Source organism: Homo sapiens, chromosome 19 (assembly GCF_000001405.40).
Source record: "Homo sapiens chromosome 19, GRCh38.p14 Primary Assembly".
NCBI lineage: Eukaryota > Metazoa > Chordata > Mammalia > Primates > Hominidae > Homo > Homo sapiens.
The window spans coordinates 6,898,517-6,917,245 of NC_000019.10; the positions used below are offsets into that span (position 1 = coordinate 6,898,517).

The 18,729-nt window shown below is 42.5% G+C and overlaps 1 protein-coding gene and 1 long non-coding RNA gene across 7 annotated transcripts in view; one reads left to right on the plus strand and one right to left on the minus strand.

The window, feature by feature from the left end:
- ADGRE1 (adhesion G protein-coupled receptor E1) overlaps window positions 1-18,729 on the plus strand; it is a 52,872-nt gene that overhangs the window by 10,938 nt on the left and 23,205 nt on the right. For 3 of the 6 annotated variants that reach the window (NM_001974.5, NM_001256253.2, NM_001256252.2), the window contains 7 exons: window positions 3,359-3,505; window positions 5,294-5,434; window positions 5,520-5,666; window positions 7,917-8,005; window positions 10,173-10,256; window positions 15,137-15,314; window positions 17,733-17,852. In NM_001974.5, the coding sequence (NP_001965.3) occupies window positions 3,359-3,505; window positions 5,294-5,434; window positions 5,520-5,666; window positions 7,917-8,005; window positions 10,173-10,256; window positions 15,137-15,314; window positions 17,733-17,852 (906 nt within the window). Of the gene's footprint in view, window positions 1-69; window positions 182-3,350; window positions 3,506-5,293; window positions 5,435-5,519; window positions 5,667-7,916; window positions 8,006-10,172; window positions 10,257-15,136; window positions 15,315-17,732; window positions 17,853-18,729 lie in introns of all 6 variants that reach the window. The other 3 variants (XM_011527794.2, NM_001256254.2, NM_001256255.2) reach the window with 3 other exon arrangements.
- LOC105372256 (uncharacterized) overlaps window positions 3,476-18,729 on the minus strand; it is a 36,712-nt gene continuing 21,458 nt past the window's right edge. Inside the window, exons 2-3 of the long non-coding RNA XR_936288.4 lie at window positions 13,769-13,872; window positions 3,476-3,542 (exon numbers count right to left, since the gene is read on the minus strand). This is a non-coding gene — a long non-coding RNA (uncharacterized LOC105372256). The remainder of the gene's footprint in view (window positions 3,543-13,768; window positions 13,873-18,729) is intronic.

The window sequence follows — 18,729 nt, forward strand, 5'->3', positions numbered from 1 at the left end:
TGAGTTCATGTATTTCTGAACTGAGGCACCCAATTTCTTATCTGCTCACCCTCTTTCACTGCTTTGCAAATATCAGTGAGTCCCTCACCAGCAGCGTCTGCCCTGAGCATTCTGACTGTGTCAACTCCATGGGAAGCTACAATTGCAGCTGTCAAGTTGGATTCATCTCTAGAAACTCTATCTCTTTATTATTTACCTGCTTAATTAATTAAGGGTCATCTCACTGGAAGACCATATGAGAAAGGGATTTTCTCATGTAGGGATGAGAAAATTGGGGCTCAGAGAGGTAAAAATATATAGTTGCCTATATATTTTTCTATCCCTTTACTTTGGGCCTGTGGGTGTCTTTACATGTTAGGTAGGTCTCTTGTAGGCAGCACATGGTTTGGTCTTTTTTACAAAAATTTTTATCTGGTTTAACAATCTATATCTTTTAAGTGTAGCATTAGGCCATTTCTGTTCAAGGTTAATATTGATATTTGAGGGTTTTGTTCCTGTCACAGTGTTGCTCGCTACTTGCTTTGTGATCTCAGTTGTGTAATTGCTTTATAGGATCTGTGAACTATATGCAAATATTAAGTGGAAGAGCTGGGATTTGAACTCCTGCTGAGGACCTACTATAAGTCAAACAATGGTATCAGAATATAATGGGGTGCACTTGTCTCCAGACCGATATTTTCCCCAGGGGACATTGGCAACATCTGGAGATATTTTTGATTGTCTCAACCGGTGATGGTGGGGAGAGGTGCTGTGTATGGCATCTGATGGGAAGAGGTCAGAGATGCTGCTAAACATCCTATAATGCACCGAAAGGCCCCCACAACCAAGAATAATCTGACCCTAAATGCCAATAGTGCTGAGGTGGAAAAACCTTATTCTGGGCTGGGCGCGGTGGCTCACGCCTGTAATACCAGCACTTTGGGAGGCCAAGGCGGATGGATCACTTGAGGTCAGGAGTTCAAGACTAGCCTGGCGAACATGGTGAAACCTTGTCGCTACTAAAAATACAAAAAATTAGCCGGGCATGGTGGCAGGCACCTGTAATCCCAGCTACTCGGGAGGCTGAGGCAGGAGAATTGCTTGAACCTGGGAGGCGGAGGTTGGAGTGAGCTGAGATTGTGCCATTGCACTCCAGCCTGGGCAACAGAGCAAGACTCTGTTTCAAAAAAAAAAAATACCCAACAACAAGAAGAACAAAACACACAAAACCTATTCTGGGGAGATTCTAAAGTCTAAACTTCAGAACGTTCCCCTAAAAGGTATTTGAATTAACAGTTGAAAGTTATCTTTAATCAGCCGGGCGCAGTGGCTCCTGCGTGTAATCTCAGCACTTTGGGAGGCCAAGGCAGGCAGATCATGAGGTCAGGAGATGGAGACCATCCTGGCTAACAAGGTGAAACCCCGTCTCTACTAAAAATACAAAAAAAAATAGCTGGGCCTGGTGGCACGTGCCTGTAATCCCAGCTACTTGAGAGGCTGAGGCAGGAGAATGGTGTGAACCCAGGAGGCAGAGCTTGCAGTGAGCCGAGATCACACCACTGCGCTCCAGCCTGGGTGACAGAGCGAGACTCCATCTCAAAAAAAAAAAAAAAGAAAGTTATCTTTAATCTTTTCTCTCCCTTCACATTAAAGCAGTCATCACACCTTGGAGAATCTACCTGCTAAATATGTTTTGAGACTGGGTGTGGTGGCTCACACCTGTAATACCAGCACTTAGGGAGGCTGAGATGGGAGAATCGCTTAAGACCAAGAGTTTGAGACCAGCCTGGGCAACATAGTGAGACCCTGTCTCTACAAAAAAAAAAAAAAAATTAGAAAATTAGCCAAGTGTGGTGGCATGTGCCTGTGGTCCCAGCTACTCAGGAGGCTGAGGTGGGAGGATCACTTGAAACCAGGAGGTTGAGGCTGCAGTGCACTATGCTTGCATCACTGCATTCCAGCCTGGATAACAGAGCAAGACCTTGTCTCAAAAATAAATATATAAATAAATATGTGTTGAATTCCTCCACTGTTTTCCATCCTTGGTTCAGGCTTGATCATCACTGCAGCAGCCTCCTCTCTAGTCTTGCCTTTTTCAGTCTTATTCTCTCCAATCCATCCTCTACACTGCAGCCAGAATGTCCTCACCAAGAGACAAGAGCTCCATCTTCCTGTGTCTAGTGCATTGTTATTCTCCACATTCATTTATGGGATGGTGACTCCATTGAGAAAGGCAAGGAGTGGTCAAGCCCTCATTATATCCCCCTGGCTTAGTTTAAGAGATGTTTGAAATCATCTCTGCCTTTGCTACTCCATTTGTAGCAGTGAGCTATCACTGGGTAACAAATTGTCTTAAAAATTAGTGTCTAAAAACAACCACCATATATTTAGCGCTTGATTCCATGAGTTGACATTTTAAGTGGTCTATTCTAGCCAGATCTTTTGGTCTCAACTGGTCTTGTTCTTGTGTCTGCAGTCAGCTGACCTTGGCTGGGCTTTTGTCTTGTTGCCTCTGCCACCTTAGGTGTGAGCCTCATCCCCATGGTTGGGAATGGATCACCCCACTCTGTCCATCTTCCAGCCCAGGTGAAAAGGGAGAAGAAGTGTAGAGTATGCTCTTTCTTTTCAAGGGCATGACCAGATGGTGCACACATCACTTCTATTTATTCTCCTTAGCCAGATTTTCACCATGTAGCTACACCTAGCTGCAAGAGAAGCTGGGAATGCAGTCCTCAGCTGTATTGTTACATTATTACAAGGAGGAGGGAATGGGTCTCACATGTCTGGGGCTCATCTGGGATGATTCATTTCTCTCCCATTTGGTCTTTTGTTCTTCATTAGGCTAGTCAGGGGCTTGTTCATATGGCAGAGATCAGAGGCCCAATAGAATGAACAGAAGCCAACAGGTCTCTTGAGGCCCAGGTTTGGAATTAGCACCTCATTACTTCACTGTCTTCTATTGGTCAGTGCAAGTCGTAGGGCCAGCTGTATTTAAGGGGTAGAGAAACAGACTCCACCTCTTAATGCAAGGTATGGTAAAGTCACATCTCTTACAATCTACATCTTGGGGTGTAAATACAGAGAGAAGTAAAGGACTATGGCTACTTTTCCAATTTCTGATAATTATGTTTTGAAACTATTTGCCACCCTTCTGCTTACATGCTATTGGCTAGAATTTGCTCTCATGGCCATGCCTACTGAAAGAAGGAACTGGGAAATATGTCCCACTGTGTGCCTGGGAAGAAGGGGGGAACATGGATATTGGGGAGCATCAGCCCTGTCTGCTGAAAATCAACACTCAGAGTGCATCTCCTATTTGTAGTCTCTACTCCTTGCTTTCTCATTTACCTTGACCTGGGTTTTCTCTTCCACTCTTCAGACGTGGATGAATGTGCAGATCCAAGAGCTTGCCCAGAGCATGCAACTTGTAATAACACTGTTGGAAACTACTCTTGTTTCTGCAACCCAGGATTTGAATCCAGCAGTGGCCACTTGAGTTTCCAGGGTCTCAAAGCATCGTGTGAAGGTAGGTGGGGGTGTCTTCTGAGAAGTCAGGTCCAAGTCTGTTTGAAAAGACAGCAGTGAGGGGATTAGGGTGGGTCTTGGTTGAGTTTGAGACTTTCATCTGCAAATCTGAAGCCAATAATCATTCATTCACTCATTAAAGAAATACCTCTTGAGCACTTACAGTATACGTGGCACTATTCTAGGCACTGGGGATAGAGCAGTAAATAACATCTCCAAATAACATCCCACTGGGGCTTAGGGCTTCCATATAGGAATTTGGAGGAGGGGCACCATTCAGTCCATAGCACCCATGAACAAACAGCTTGTAAGTGACAGAGCCAGGCTATGAACCCAGAATGTCCATGTTCTCAACCCCTCCACTGTGTGCCTCTTTTTGTTTGTTTGTTTGTTTGTTTTTTGTTTTTTTGGGGTTTTTTTGTTTTTTGGTTTTGTTTTGAGATGGAGTCTTGCTCTGTTGCCCAGGCTGGAGTGCAGTGGTACAATCTCGGCTCACTGCAACCTCCCCCTCCTGGGTTCAAGCAATTCTCCTGCCTCAGCCTCCCAAGTAGATGGGATTACAGGCATGTGGCACCATGTCCAGCTAATTTTTGTATTTTTAGTAGAGACAAGGTTTCACCGTGTTGGCCAGGCTGGTCTCAAACTCCTGACCCCAGGTAATCTGCCTGCCTCGGCTTCTCAAAGCGTTTGGATTACAGGCATGAGCCACTGCGCCCAGCCTGTTTTTTGTTTTTGAGACGGAGTCTTGGTCTGTCGCCCAGGCTGGAGTGCAGTGGCTTGATCTCAGCTTACTGCCACCTCTGCCTCCCAGGTTCAAGCAATTCTTTTGCCTCAGCCTCTTGAGTAGCTGGGATTACAGGTGTGTGCCACCATGCCCAGCTAATTTTTTATTCGGGACAGGTAAGCCCCAAAGTGGGGTTTAGCTCACAAGGGTTCTTGGCTTTGCCCAGGAGAGAATTCAAGGGCAAGCCAGAGGTAGAAGAAAACAGCTTTATTGAAGAGGCAGTGTTGCAGTTCTGTAAGTGTTACAGCTCCTGCAGAGCAGGGCTACTTCATAGGCAGAGAGCAGCAGCTCAGGGCAGTTTTGCAGTCATACTTATACCTACTTTTAATAATATGCAGATTAACAGGTGGTTTATGCAAAAATTTCTAGGGAAGGGGTAGTAACTTTTGGGTCATTGAGTCATTGCCATAGAAAGGGGCAGTAACTCCCCAATATTGCCATGGCAATGGTAAACTGACCTGGCACACTGGTGGGCATGTCTTATGGAAAGCTGCTTCCACTCTGTCCTTGTTTTAGCTAGTCCTCAATTTTGTCCAGTGTCTGAGTCCCTCATCTGGAGTTGAGTCCTGTTTCCTGCCTCATTACTAGCTTAGCATAATAGAAATGTATCACTCTCATAATAATTCAATATGGATATACCTGGCTGGTGGGCAGCTTTTCTCCACATGGTGATAAAGGAGTTCAATCTCTCTCCATCTTTTGGTTTTTGCATTCCTTAGAGCCTTGGTGTTCCTGGTTTAGCCAGTTGAGGTGAAAGAGGGAGGAGAGAAGTCACACCCACTTCTTGACCACCTTGGCCCTGAAGTGACATATATCATGGCTCTCATATTCCATGAGTGAAAAGTAGTCACATGACCTCACCTAGATGCAGAGGGTTCTAGGAAATGTAGTCCCTGGCTGGGACACCATTTTCTAGTGAAACATGACTCCATATTTTGCAAAGGGAAGCATGATTTTGTTGGCTCATTGGCCAACTTGGCTCCACACCCATTCTGTACCCCACAGATATTGATGAATGCACTGAAATGTGCCCCATCAATTCAACATGCACCAACACTCCTGGGAGCTACTTTTGCACCTGCCACCCTGGCTTTGCACCAAGCAATGGACAGTTGAATTTCACAGACCAAGGAGTGGAATGTAGAGGTGAGCAGAGAGTTTGATGGACAATCCAGAAAAGACATTTCTCTTTGCTCTTCTGGGTTTCTTGATATTCTCCAGTTCTTTGCAGATATTGATGAGTGCCGCCAAGATCCATCAACCTGTGGTCCTAATTCTATCTGCACCAATGCCCTGGGCTCCTACAGCTGTGGCTGCATTGCAGGCTTTCATCCCAATCCAGAAGGCTCCCAGAAAGATGGCAACTTCAGCTGCCAAAGTAATAATCTCTTTGTATGTCTTGGCAATGGAATCTGTTTCTGGCTTTGGTTGGAAAATTCTCATTCTACCCAACCTCGGGATCTTCCTCTTAGTGTTGCCTCATCCACATATTCTGTTTCTTTTTCTTCTTCATCCATTTACTCTTTCAACAAATGATTTTTGGAGTACCTATTAATTAATTAGTTAAACAGGACCCTGCAGTAGGCACTGAAGATTTGGTCCTGAATATCATAGGCATGCTTCTTGTCCTCTTGTAGCTTATAGTCTAGGGAAGGAGCCAGAACACACACACACCCAATTATTTAATTATAACTATGAATGAAACAACAACAAAAAAGTGTGCTTTTTTTTTTTTTTTTCACCCAGGCTGGAGTACAGTGGCAGGATCTTGGCTCACTGCAAGCTCCACCTCCCGGGTTCACGCCATTCTTCTGCCTCAGCCTCCTGAGTAGCTGGGACTACAGGCGCCCGCCACCACGCCTGGCTAATATTTTTGTATTTTTAGTAGAGACGGTGTTTCACCATGTTAGCCAGGATGGTCTCGATCTACTGACCTCGTGATCAGCCCGCCTCGGCCTCCCAAAGTGCTGGGATTACAGGCATGAGCCACTGCGCCTGGCCAAAACATAGTGTGCTTTGAAGTGGCTAATAGGATATTGATTATGCTCCAAGCAAACAACATTTAAGCAGAAACCTGAAGGAGGAGAAGGACTTCTCTAGAGGAAGAATGGAGATCATGCTGTTCTGGGTTATAGCAGATGCAAAGGTCCTGAGGCTCACACCAAATGAGGACAAGGGGAAGTGGCAGTAGACATATCTGATGAAGTGGACAGAGGTCAGATTCTGCAGGGTCTTGGTGGCTTGTGAAGAATTTTGAAAGGGCTGGATGCAGTGACATACCTATAAACAGCACTTTGGGAGGCCAAGGTGAGAGGATCACCTGAGGCCAGGAATTCAAGACCAGCCTGGGCAACATTGCAAGACTCCGTCTCCACAAAAAATAATGATAAAAAATTAGCCAGGTGTAGTAGCATGGGCTTGTAGTCCTAGCTACTCAGGAGGCTGAGGTGGGAGGATCGCTTGAGCCTGGGAGGTTGAGGCTGCAGTGAGCTGTGCTCATGCCACTGCACTCAAGCCTGGGTGACAGAGTGAGACCCTGTCTTTTGTTTTTTTTTCTTTTTTTTTTTTTATGGAGTCTCACTCTGTCGCCCAGACTGGAGTGCAGGGGCGCGATCTCAGCTCACTGCAACCTCCACCTCCCAGGTTCAAATGATTCTTCTGCCTCAGCCTGCCGAGTAGCTAGGATTACAGGTGCCCATCACCACACCCAGCTAATTTTTGTATTTTTAGTAGAGATGGGGTTTCACCATGTTGGCCAAGCTGTTCTTGAACTCGTGATCTTGTGATCCTCCCACCTCAGCCTCTCAAAGTGCTGGGATTACAGGTGTGAGCCACCGTGCCCGGCCAACCTTTCTTTTAAAAAAGAATTTCAGAGTCCTTTCCCCTCCCCCCAAGAATAATGGGGAACCATGAAAGGTTTAAAACTGTTAAATTATGTATTATTTATTACATTAAAAATATGTGTAACTTATTGGAGGCAATGAAGTATAACAAGCAAATGAATATATCTGATGTATTTCCAAATATAATAAAGATAATATCATCAATGTCGCTGGTTCTCCTATATGTTTCTTCTCCATTCTATCTCCTTGTATCCTCCTTAGACAGCCACTTGGAATTTTGTGTTTATTATTTCCCTACTTAAAAAAATATTTTCCCATGGTATGTACCCCTAAACAATATCTGCCTAGTATTGCTTGTGTTTGGAGCTTTGTAAAAATGATATCATACTACATATGACTATAGATGTATGTCTTTTATATGTATGACTTCTCTAATTTGCTCTGTTTCACTCAATATCATGCCTCTTAGAGTGTAAGCTGTGCAGGGACATAATATTGAGTGAGAAGTCACACATATAAAAGACATACATCCACAATCATATGCATGATTGCCTCTAAGAGGCATGATATTGAGTGAAACCGAGCAAATTAGAAAATTGTGTGTTGTAGTAAACACGTCCTTCATGTTGTAGTGTGTAGTTGTGGTTTGTTCATTTTCCCCCTTGTGTATTAGGGTAATAGATGGATTTTAAGTCGGGCACGGGAGGACATGAAATCAGACTTGAATTTTCATCTTATTTTGCTGAGGTTGAAGTTTGGTTTGGTTGCTGTTGTTTTCTTCCTAGGGGTTCTCTTCAAATGTAAGGAAGATGTGATACCCGATAATAAGCAGATCCAGCAATGCCAAGAGGGAACCGCAGTGAAACCTGCATATGCAAGTATTTTTTAAGGTTCCTAGTTTTTGAGGTTTTCTTAGAAGCCATTTAGGTAGAATGTTGTTTTTGCAGTTCTAACAAAGGCAAAAGTAATAGTGGCCAAAACCAGACAGCAGTTTATTTTTCTCCTCTGTAACCTGCTGAGTGTAAGCTGTGCAGAGCTCATACCATGGCTCCATTATGCTCTGCCAGCATCAACACAAGACTCCCACTTTGTGGCCCAAGGTGGCAGCTCCAGCTCCTGCCCTCACATCTGCATTCCAGCTTGTGGGAAGGGGAGAAGAGGAAGTGAAAAGTACGGTCCTTCTCTTTAAGCGTATGACCCAGCACCACTTCTGCTTGCACCTGATTGGGTAGAAATTAGTCACATGGTCCCACCTAGCTGCAAGGGAAGCTGGGAAGAGAGAATGTTTGCCTATCTAAAACTTGAGGATTCTCTTAATAAAAGAACGGGAGAATATATTGGAGTCTTCCTGCCAGTGAAGGTGTTGATGCTGCAACTGAGTAATGTTGGTGTGGGGGTGTTACACAGCCAGCCAGGCCAAAAGGAATTTGGACATCCTGACTGTCTAATGAAGTCATTACAATGAGTAAAGACTCCATGACCTCTTTAGAAATCAATGTCACTATTCTAAATATGAGCTTGTAAATTGGCTATGGGCTTCCCACATGCCTTGGACCACTGTTTTTCTTTTTTAATTGTGGTGAGGTACACATAACATAAAATTCACCACTTTAACTATTTTAAAGTGTGCAATTCAGTGGCACTTAGACCATTCACAATGTTATGCAATCATCACCTCAATCTAGTTCTAGAAATTTTTTTTTTTTTTTGAGATGGAGTCTTGCTCTGTTGCCCAGGCTGGAGTGCAGTGGGGTGATCTTGGCTCACTGCAACCTCCGCCTCCTGGGTTCAAGCAATTCTTCCTGCCTCAGCCTCCCAAATAGCTGGGACTACAGGCACCCACCACCATGCCTGGCTAATTTTTGTGTTTTTAGTAGAGACGGGGTTTTGCCATGTTGGCCAGACTGGTCTCAAACTCCTGACCTTGAGTGATCCACCTGCCTCAGCCTCCCAATGTTCTGGGATTACAGGTGTGAGCACCGTGCTCAGCCAAGTTCTGGAATATTTTTATCACTAAGCAGTCACTCCCCATTCTCCCCTCCCACTAGCCCATGGCAAACACTAATCAGCTTTCTGTCTCTGTGGATTTGTCTATTCTTGACATTTCACAGAAATGGAATCATGCAATGTTTGCTCCTTTGTGTCTGGCTTCTTTCACTTAGCATGATATTTTCAAGGTTCTTTCATGCTGTAGTACATATCAGAGAACTCCATTCCTTTTTATGGCTGAATAATATTCCACATGGACCACTGTTAGTTCATACATTTCCTCTTCTTTTAATATCACTGGTTGGGAACAGGCCCCCCAAAATCTGGCCATAAACTGGCCCCAAAACTGGCCATAAACAAAATCTCTGCAGCACTGTGACATGTTCATGATGGCCATAATGCCCACACTGGAAGGTTGTGGGTTTACCGGAATGAGGGCAAGGAACACCTGCCCAGCCCAGGGCGGAAAAATCGCTTAAAGGCGTTCTTAAACCACAAACAATAGCATGAGCCATCTGTGCCTTAAGGACATGCTCCTGCTGCAGATAACTAGCCAGACCCATCCCTTTATTTCGGCCCATCCCTTCGTTTCCCATAAGGGATACTTTTAGTTAATCTAATATCTATAGAAACAATGCTTATCACTGGCTTGCTGTTAATAAATACGTGGGTAAACCTCGTTCAAGGCTCTCAGCTCTGAAGGCTGTGAGACCCCTGATTTCCCACTTCACACCTCTATATTCCTGTGTGTGTGTCTATAATTTCTCTAGTGCCGCTGGCTTAGGGTGTCCCCGATTGAGCTGGTTTCAGCAATCACTAAGTAGTTTTGCTATTTGTTTATGTTTGCTTTTTTTATTCATGGAAGGAAAAGGTGATGTGATTCTAATTCTGATCAAGTAATGAGTTTTAGTTTCCCTGAGAATTCTAGAGACTCAGGAATTCAGAGCCACCTCATATGATGGGCTTTATGGGCTAATTTGTAGATTACATGCTTGGGGGAATACATCGATTCATGCTCACAAATGCTCTTTTTTTTTTTTTCTGGGACGCAGGTCTCCTTTTGTGCACAAATAAATAACATCTTCAGCGTTCTGGACAAAGTGTGTGAAAATAAAACGACCGTAGTTTCTCTGAAGGTAACGATTGGGTCTTTTAAATTGTGTTTTGAGTTTCAAACATCTTGGGCACACTTTGGGTGCAGAAAGATGTCTTTATGGCTGGGCGTGGTGGCTCACACCCATAATCCCAGCACTTTGGGAGATTGAGTCAGATGAATCACTTGAGGTCAGGAGTTCAAGACCAGCCTAGCCAACATGATGAAACCCTGTCTCTACTACAAATACAGAACTTAGCCGGGCATGGTGGCAGGTGCCCATAGTACCAGCTACTCAGGAGGCTGAAGCAGGACGATTGCTTGAACCCGGGAGGTGGAGGTTGTGGTGAGCCAAGATAGCACCACTGCACTTCAGCCTTGGCAACAGACTGAGACTCCATCTCAAAAAAAAAAAAAAGAAAGAAAGAAATATCTCTTTATAATGAATGGATTGTGAATTAATATTTAATTTTTTATAGCTGTAAGATTTGAAAAATTAGCATACAGTAAAATTACCTTTTTACTTGTATAGTTTGATGAGTTTTCTCACCTGAATAGACTTGTTGAACTACCACTATAATTAGGATGCAGAACAGTTTAATTATCTCCAAACATTCCCTTGGGCTTCTCCTTTATAGTCAGATACTCCCTCCACCACTAAACTCTATAAATCCCTGATCTGGTCTCTGTCACCAGAGTTTTGTCTTTGGAAGAGTGTTATATAAATGAAACCACATAGTATGTGGTCTTTTGAGACTGGCTTCTTTGACTCAGCATAGTGCATTTGAGATGCCTGGATAGTGTGTATATAAACAATGCCATTTCCTCCTCCTCCTCCTTCTTCCTTCTTTCTTTTCCTTCCTTTTTACTGTTAATGAGATTCAGCACATTCTCATTGCTGTATATAACCATCACCATTATCCATCTCAAGAACTTTCTCATCTTTCTCATCTTTTCAGGGGGACAGAATTGGTTGGTGGTTTTTTTTGTTTGTTTGTTTTGTTTTGTTTGTTTGTTTGTTTTGAGATGAAGTCTTGCTCTGTTGCCCAGGCTAGAGTGCAATGGTGCGATCTTGGCTCACCGCAACCTCCACCTCCCAGGTTCAAGCGATTCTCCTGCCTCAGCCTCCCGAGTAGTTGGGATTACAGGCATGCGCCACCATGCCCGGCTAATTTTGTATTTTTAGTAGAGACGAGGTTTCTCCATGTTGATCAGGCTGGTCTCAAACTCCCGACCTCAGGCGATCCACCTGCCTCGGCCTCCCAAAGTGCTGGGATTAGAGGTGTGAGCCACCAAGTCTAGCCAAAAGCTAGTTTTTCTTAAGCTTTAAGTTGAACTCATTGATATTGTCATTTTCTTTATAAATCTGGTTATTTTTGTATGAAAATAAGAATAACACTTTTACTTATAATTGTATTAATTTTAAATTAATACATTTATTTTTATTCATAAAGTATACATTCATCCCTAGGGTTTTCAGATTAAATTTTGATAAATGATTAATCCTATTTACAAACTTAGTTCAATTTCCTCGAATGTTTTATACTATGTTTATAAATATTCCAATTCCCCCCTCCCGCTCCACCCAAATTTCAAGTACCTGGTGAAGAGGATTTACAAATCTAATAGGCAAAGTCACTTGGGTCCTGAGCGACTCATAAATCCAATCGATCGAATCTATAAATATAATAATTCAGATTCTTTTAGACATTCAATATGGTTTATAAATAGCCACGTTCTCTTAAATTGTTCATATTAAAATAACAAGTCTAATTGCTTTTTGCAATAAAATTATGTGGTTTATTGGTTAGCTTCTCTAATGTGTCAAACTGTTCCAACTCTTTTTTTTTTTTTTTTTTTGAGATGGAGTCTTGCTCTGTTGCCCAGGCTGCAGTGCAATGGCGCAATATTGACTCACTGCAAGCTCCGCCTCCCGGGTTCATGCCATTCTCCTGCCTCAGCCTCCCAAGTAGCTGGGACTACAGGCGCCCACCACCAAGCGTGGGTAATATTTTGTATTTTTAATAGAGACGGGGTTTCACCATGTTGGCCAGGCTGGTCTCGAACTCCTGACCTCAGGTGATCCACCCACCTCAGCCTCCCAAAGTGCTGGGATTACAGGCATAAGCCACCACACCCAGCCCCAACTCTTTAAATAGGAGATGTTTCTAGATTATGCTAAAGATGTCAAAAACTTCTAAATTTAACACAAATCCTACTAAGGATGTTTAGTTTGCCTAAAATTTTCTAACTTTCCTGAGGATATAAAATAACTTCCCTAGCTAAGAATAAATTTAACATATCAGAGGGGCGGGATTTGAAGAGATTTTGCCAGTTGTCGAACTGAGTACTATGTTTCCTGGAGATGGTCCTAGTTGAGATGTTTCTGCTATGTCAGTGGGGAGGGGAGTCCCACACCCATGCCTTTTGGGGATTACAGAGCTCAGGGCTTCCTGTTTCTCTTGGACAAATATCTCTCAAATGTCCCGCTTACCCCGTGTTTATTGAAATCCTTTTTTTCCTTTTATCATCTAATTTGGATAGATAGAAACTTGTATTGCTGCTCAAATTTCAGTTTAATTTCCTCTACCATCTGACTGGATTTAATTCATTTAATGCATTTTCCTGCATTTATTAGGTTCTGGATTCCTTTTAGTTTTTTTTTTTTTTTTTTTTGCTTGGGTCAGAGTCACATGTGATAGTCAATTTATTGATAATAATCAATAATAAGGGGAATCATATGAATATTACTATTACTATTGTTGTTATTGTTTTTCTTACCTTAATCCTATTCCTCAAACACATCCAGTGTTAAGAGGTAGATAAGTATCTTCCCCTATCTTTTTACCTTGTAAGCATGTACACACATACACACATATACATACATACACATACAAATAAACACACACACATATACACACATGCGCACACACATACACATACATACAAATACATACACGTATACACACGTGTACACACACATATACACCTCCCCCACATGCACACACATGCACACACAGTATGTACACACATACACACATATACATATGCATATACACATATAACATACATACACATGCACACATACACATACAAATGCATACACACACACCCCACACACATTTACACACATACACACACCCCACACACATTTACACACATACACCCCACACACATTTACACACATACACACATGTATACACACATCTATGCATGTACCCATACACACATACAGACATACACAGACATCTACACACAGATACACACATACACATCCACACACATATACACACTCCTGACACACATACACACATATATACATACAGGCATATACAAATGTACACACATACACAAACACACATATATACACACACGTATACATACATATACACAAACACACATACATACATAGGCATACATAGACATACACAGAGATATACACACATGCACACGCATGTACACAACCCAACACATACACACATATACACACACCCACATATATAAGCACACACACACACATGCACACACAGTGCAGTCATTTTATTGAGCACTTACTATGAGAGGTTTAGGACAGTGATTAATGATTCAGCCTCTGCTGCCAGACTGCCAAGGTTCAAATCGTGGTTCTTCCACCTGCTAGATATGAGTCCTTGTTTCTCCTTTCAAAAATCAAAATAATCATAAATAGCCTCTACTTCATAGATATCTTCTACAAATTAAACAAGTTAATATATAAAAGACATTTAGAGCAATACCTGGCTCGTAATAAGTGTGTGCTATTTTTATTTCTATATGCCAGAACATAAATACCATAATATAAAATTTTAAATTAAACCAATTGTTTCTAAACCAAATGCAATACTATATACATGATACTCTGTAATTTGCTTTAGTGAACAGTGGCTCAGAGACCCTTTTGCTTGTTAATGCCTATAGGTATACTGCAATATTCATTTTAACAGCTGTATGGCTGTTATTTGATTTCATCTTCATTTATTGACCCAGTCTGTAGGGCATTTAGGCTTTCCACAAACTATCCTGAGATGAACATCACTGGACAAGATCCTTGCACAACTTTTAAGTATTTCTGAAAAGATTAATTCCAGGAAGGGGAATTGCTGTGTCAAAGGGTATATGCAATTTACATGGCTATGGGTACAAACTTACTGCATTGCATAAAGGTTACATCAATTTGTCTTTCTTGCTTGCTTTCTTGCTTTCTTTTGACAAGATCTCACTCTGTCACCCAAGCTGGAGTGCAGTGGAGTGATCATAGCTCACTGCAGCCTTGAACTCCAGGGCTCAAGAGATCCTCCCACTTCAGCCTCCTGAGTCGCTGGGACTAGCGTCATGCACCACCGTGCCTGCTCTTTTTTAATTTGTTTGTACAGATGGGGTCTTGTTATGTTGTCCAGGCTGGTCTTGAATTCCTGAACTTCAATTTGTATTTCTTTTTTTTTCTTTTTTCAGACAGCCTCTCTCACTGTCGCCCAGGCTGGAGTGCAGTGGTGCGATCTCAGCTCACTGCAAGCTCTGCCTCCTGGGTTCAAGTGATTCTCCTGCCTCAGCCTCCCAAGTAGCTAGGATTACTGGCACGTGCCACCATGCCCGGCTAAATTTTTTTGTATTTTTAGTAGAGACAGGGTTTCACTATGTTTGCCAGGCTGGTCTCAAACTGCTGACCTCATGATCCACCCACCTCAGCCTCCCAAAGTGCTGGGCTTACAAGTGTGAGCCACTGCACCCGGCCTGAATTTGTATTTCTGATGGGGCTTCTTGAATCAGAAAAAGGAGCCCGAGTGGATGCCCCTTTTAATTCTCCTTTGGATGGACTCCCAGCCTATTCTTAATCAGAAAAGGGACAGCTGTTATTTCATTAATGAGAGAGAGAGAGAGAATGAACAAACACATCTTTCCTTGCAGAATACAACTGAGAGCTTTGTCCCTGTGCTTAAACAAATATCCACGTGGACTAAATTCACCAAGGAAGAGACGTCCTCCCTGGCCACAGTCTTCCTGGAGAGTGTGGAAAGCATGACACTGGCATCTTTTTGGAAACCCTCAGCAAATATCACTCCGGCTGTTCGGACGGAATACTTAGGTAGGAGACACCCTTTGTGGCAAGGTTACACCTAGGGGATGATTTTGAAAGTTGACTTTGGCAATGGGATATTCCCTGGGTTTCCCACCCATTCTTTCCCCAACTGTTTAAAAACTTTGAATTCACAGCAAAGCAAGTCTAATCATATTAACAACATTTTCCATTCACTGAGTGCTTGGCAAAGGCCAGGCACTGTGCTAAGACCATATCATTAATTTATTCTACAAATATTTGCTGATTAGCTGCTATGTGCTGGGCTAAGGTATGACAGTCATAGGCTGTGCTCAAGTACTTCCTGTTTGCCCTGCTGGGCCCATGGTAGAATTGTACTTCCTGGCTACTGTGTGGTTAGGTGGGATTTGGGGAGTAGCTCAGGCCAATAAATATGGGAATAGAGTAGTTGCAGGTATGAGACTTTCCAGAACTTTCCCTCTGCCCATATGAATAACAGTGCTTCAGATCACAGCTGCTCCTTCTGCCTGGGTCCCAGAATAAAGACAATATAGAACATGGCCTCAAGTCAATTTACAATAGACCCAAAGCATTAATGAGATGTAAACACTTGTTATTTTTTAATCCACTAAGACTTAGGGTTGTTTGTTACTGCTGCAAGACTGATCCTTTCCTGACTGATACATACTTGATAGATAACTACTTGGGAATAGTGGTTGCTGTAGATCTTTTACATTAGCACCCCACTCCTGGTAGTAGTTCCAGTATCATTCACATAAACCTACGAAGTTCCTACCTAATGGATGCCCAGACGGCCAAGAGGTGGAAATAAAGTATTTGGTGGACTCCAACCAGTAGTGAACAAAATTAGCCTCATGAATCTCATATTTTAGTGAGTTGAGTCAGATAATAAACAAACAGACATCTGGTATACCAAATAGAGGTAGCACTATTGAGAAAAAGTACAGCAGGCTAGGGAGGTTAGAGAGGGTTGGGATTACAGGGAGAGTTGCTATTTTATATAGCAAGATCAGAGTAAGTCTCATTGGGGCAGGGATGTCAGGGAAGAGAGCCACGTAAATATCTGCAGAAAGAGCAAGTGCAGGAATACCTGGAGAATTCAAGGAACAATGAGGTGCACAGTGTGGCTGAAGTGGCATTGAAGATGGTGAGAGCAGTAGGAGAAAGGAAGGGAGATGGAAATGTAGATAAATGTAGGGAGTTAAGGTTTTTTTTTTCTTGAGACAGGTTCTCACTCTGTCACCTAGGCTGGAGTGCAGTGGTGTGATCATAGCTCACTACAGCTTTGCACTCCCAGGCTCAAGTGATCCTCCTGCCTCAGCCTCCTGAGTAGCTGGGAACTATAGGTGTGCACCACCATGCTTGTCTAGTTTTTAAAATTTTTGGTAGAAATGAGGTCTTGCTATGTTGCCCACGCTGGTCTTGAACTTCTGAGCTCAAGTGATCCTCCTGCTCGGCCTCCCAAAGTACTAGGATTACAGGCCTGAACCACTGTACTCAGCCAAGATTTTATTTGAAGATGAAAGGACATTGGAAAATTTGGGAACAGGTATGGTATTATCTGGCTTATATTTTACAAGGATACTTCTTGTTCCATTATCTAGTTTATTTTCATGAAGGGCCAGTGGGTTAGGTCCTGCAATGCTTGTCATGATAGAGATGAGAAATTGGAGGCACAGAGAGGTTAAGTCAATGCGCAAATTTAGGCAGCTAGTGCGTGGCAGAGCTGGACCTCCCAGTTACCACCATCTGACTACAGAACCTGAGCTCTTGTGTACCATGCTAGGCTTGCCCCAATCCCTTACTATTTCTTTTGGTTTTAGAAAACTTATATAAGGCCGGGGGCAGTGGCTCACACCTGTAATCCTAGCACTTTGGGAGGCCGAGGCAGGTGGATCACAAGGTCAGGAGATCGAGACCATCCTGGCTAACACAGTGAAACCCCATCTCTACTAAAAATACAAAAAATTAGCTGGGTGTGGTGGTAGGCACCTGCAATCCCAGCTACTTGGAAGGCTGAGGCAGGAGAATGGCGTGAACCCGGGAGGCAGAGCTTGCAGTGAGCCGAGATCGTGCCACTGCACACCAGCCTAAGTGACAGAGTGAGACTCCGTCTCAAAAAAAAAAAAAAAAAAAAAAAAAACTTAGAGAGAAAATCATGACTGTTGCCTTCCATCACTGTTGACTTTGACCCCATCTTTCCCTGATGCACCCCCTAGGAGATGAGAGTTCACTTCTAAGGCTCCAGCTGGGTTACTCATTTATTTGGTGCTATGGTCCCCCTATCATTCATCATGGGCCTCAAGATCTTTCCTATGATGAATTGAACTTTCTATTCTTTTCCTTTGCTCGCCATGATGGAGGTGTACCTTTTTTTGGACAGAAACCAAATTCAGGACTGACTTTCTGGGTGACCTCATACGAACTCTCCCTTTCTCTTTTTAGACATTGAGAGCAAAGTTATCAACAAAGAATGCAGTGAAGAGAATGTGACGTTGGACTTGGTAGCCAAGGGGGATAAGATGAAGATCGGGTGTTCCACAATTGAGGAATCTGAATCCACAGGTACAGGTCCTCTCCTGAGAATGCAGGTTATGGTGTATTCCATCAATAAGTATTTATCGATCCCTTTCTAGGTGCCAAGACCAGTGCCAGATAGTTGAGAACCAATGAGGGTAGAAATGGTCCATGCTCTCAGAGAGTTTTCCATGTGCTAGGGAAGTCAAACATTAAATAACCTTATAATACTGGAGTACTGAGACCTTCACTGGCCTATATGATATGTGCTGGTCACATTCTGCTGTTGAGCAGTTGAAATTTGTATAAGCCAGGTTGAGAGGTACTGTAAACCTAAAATAAACACTGTATTTCGAAGCTTTGTTGCACAAAAAGAAGGATTAAAACGTCTCACTCATCTTTTTTATATTTAAAATAATTTAAAAATAAAAAATATTTAAATTTTTAAAATATGTAATATTTAAATTTTTAAAATATGCAATATTTAAAATATATCTTTAAATTTTAAAATATCACATTTATATGTTGAAATGATAATATTTGGCTTATACTGAGTTAATATATTATTAAAATTAATTTTATCTTTTTTTACTTTTAAAAAATGTGTACTAGAAAATTTAAAATTACATATGTGGTTCATACTGTATTTCTGTTGGACAGTGCTAATCTGTGTCAGGGATGGCAAACTTTTTCTGTAGAGGGCTCGTTAGTAACTATTTTAAGCATTGCAATTAATACAGCCTCTATCACAATGATTTAACTACCATTCTAGTGCAAAAGCATCCATAGACAATATGAATATGAATGTGCCTGGGCATGTTTCAATAAAACTTTATTTAAAAAAGTAGGTGACAACCAGATTGGCCCATAGGCCACAGTTTTCCAGCCCCTGATCTGATCTATGCATACGATTAATGCTATGATT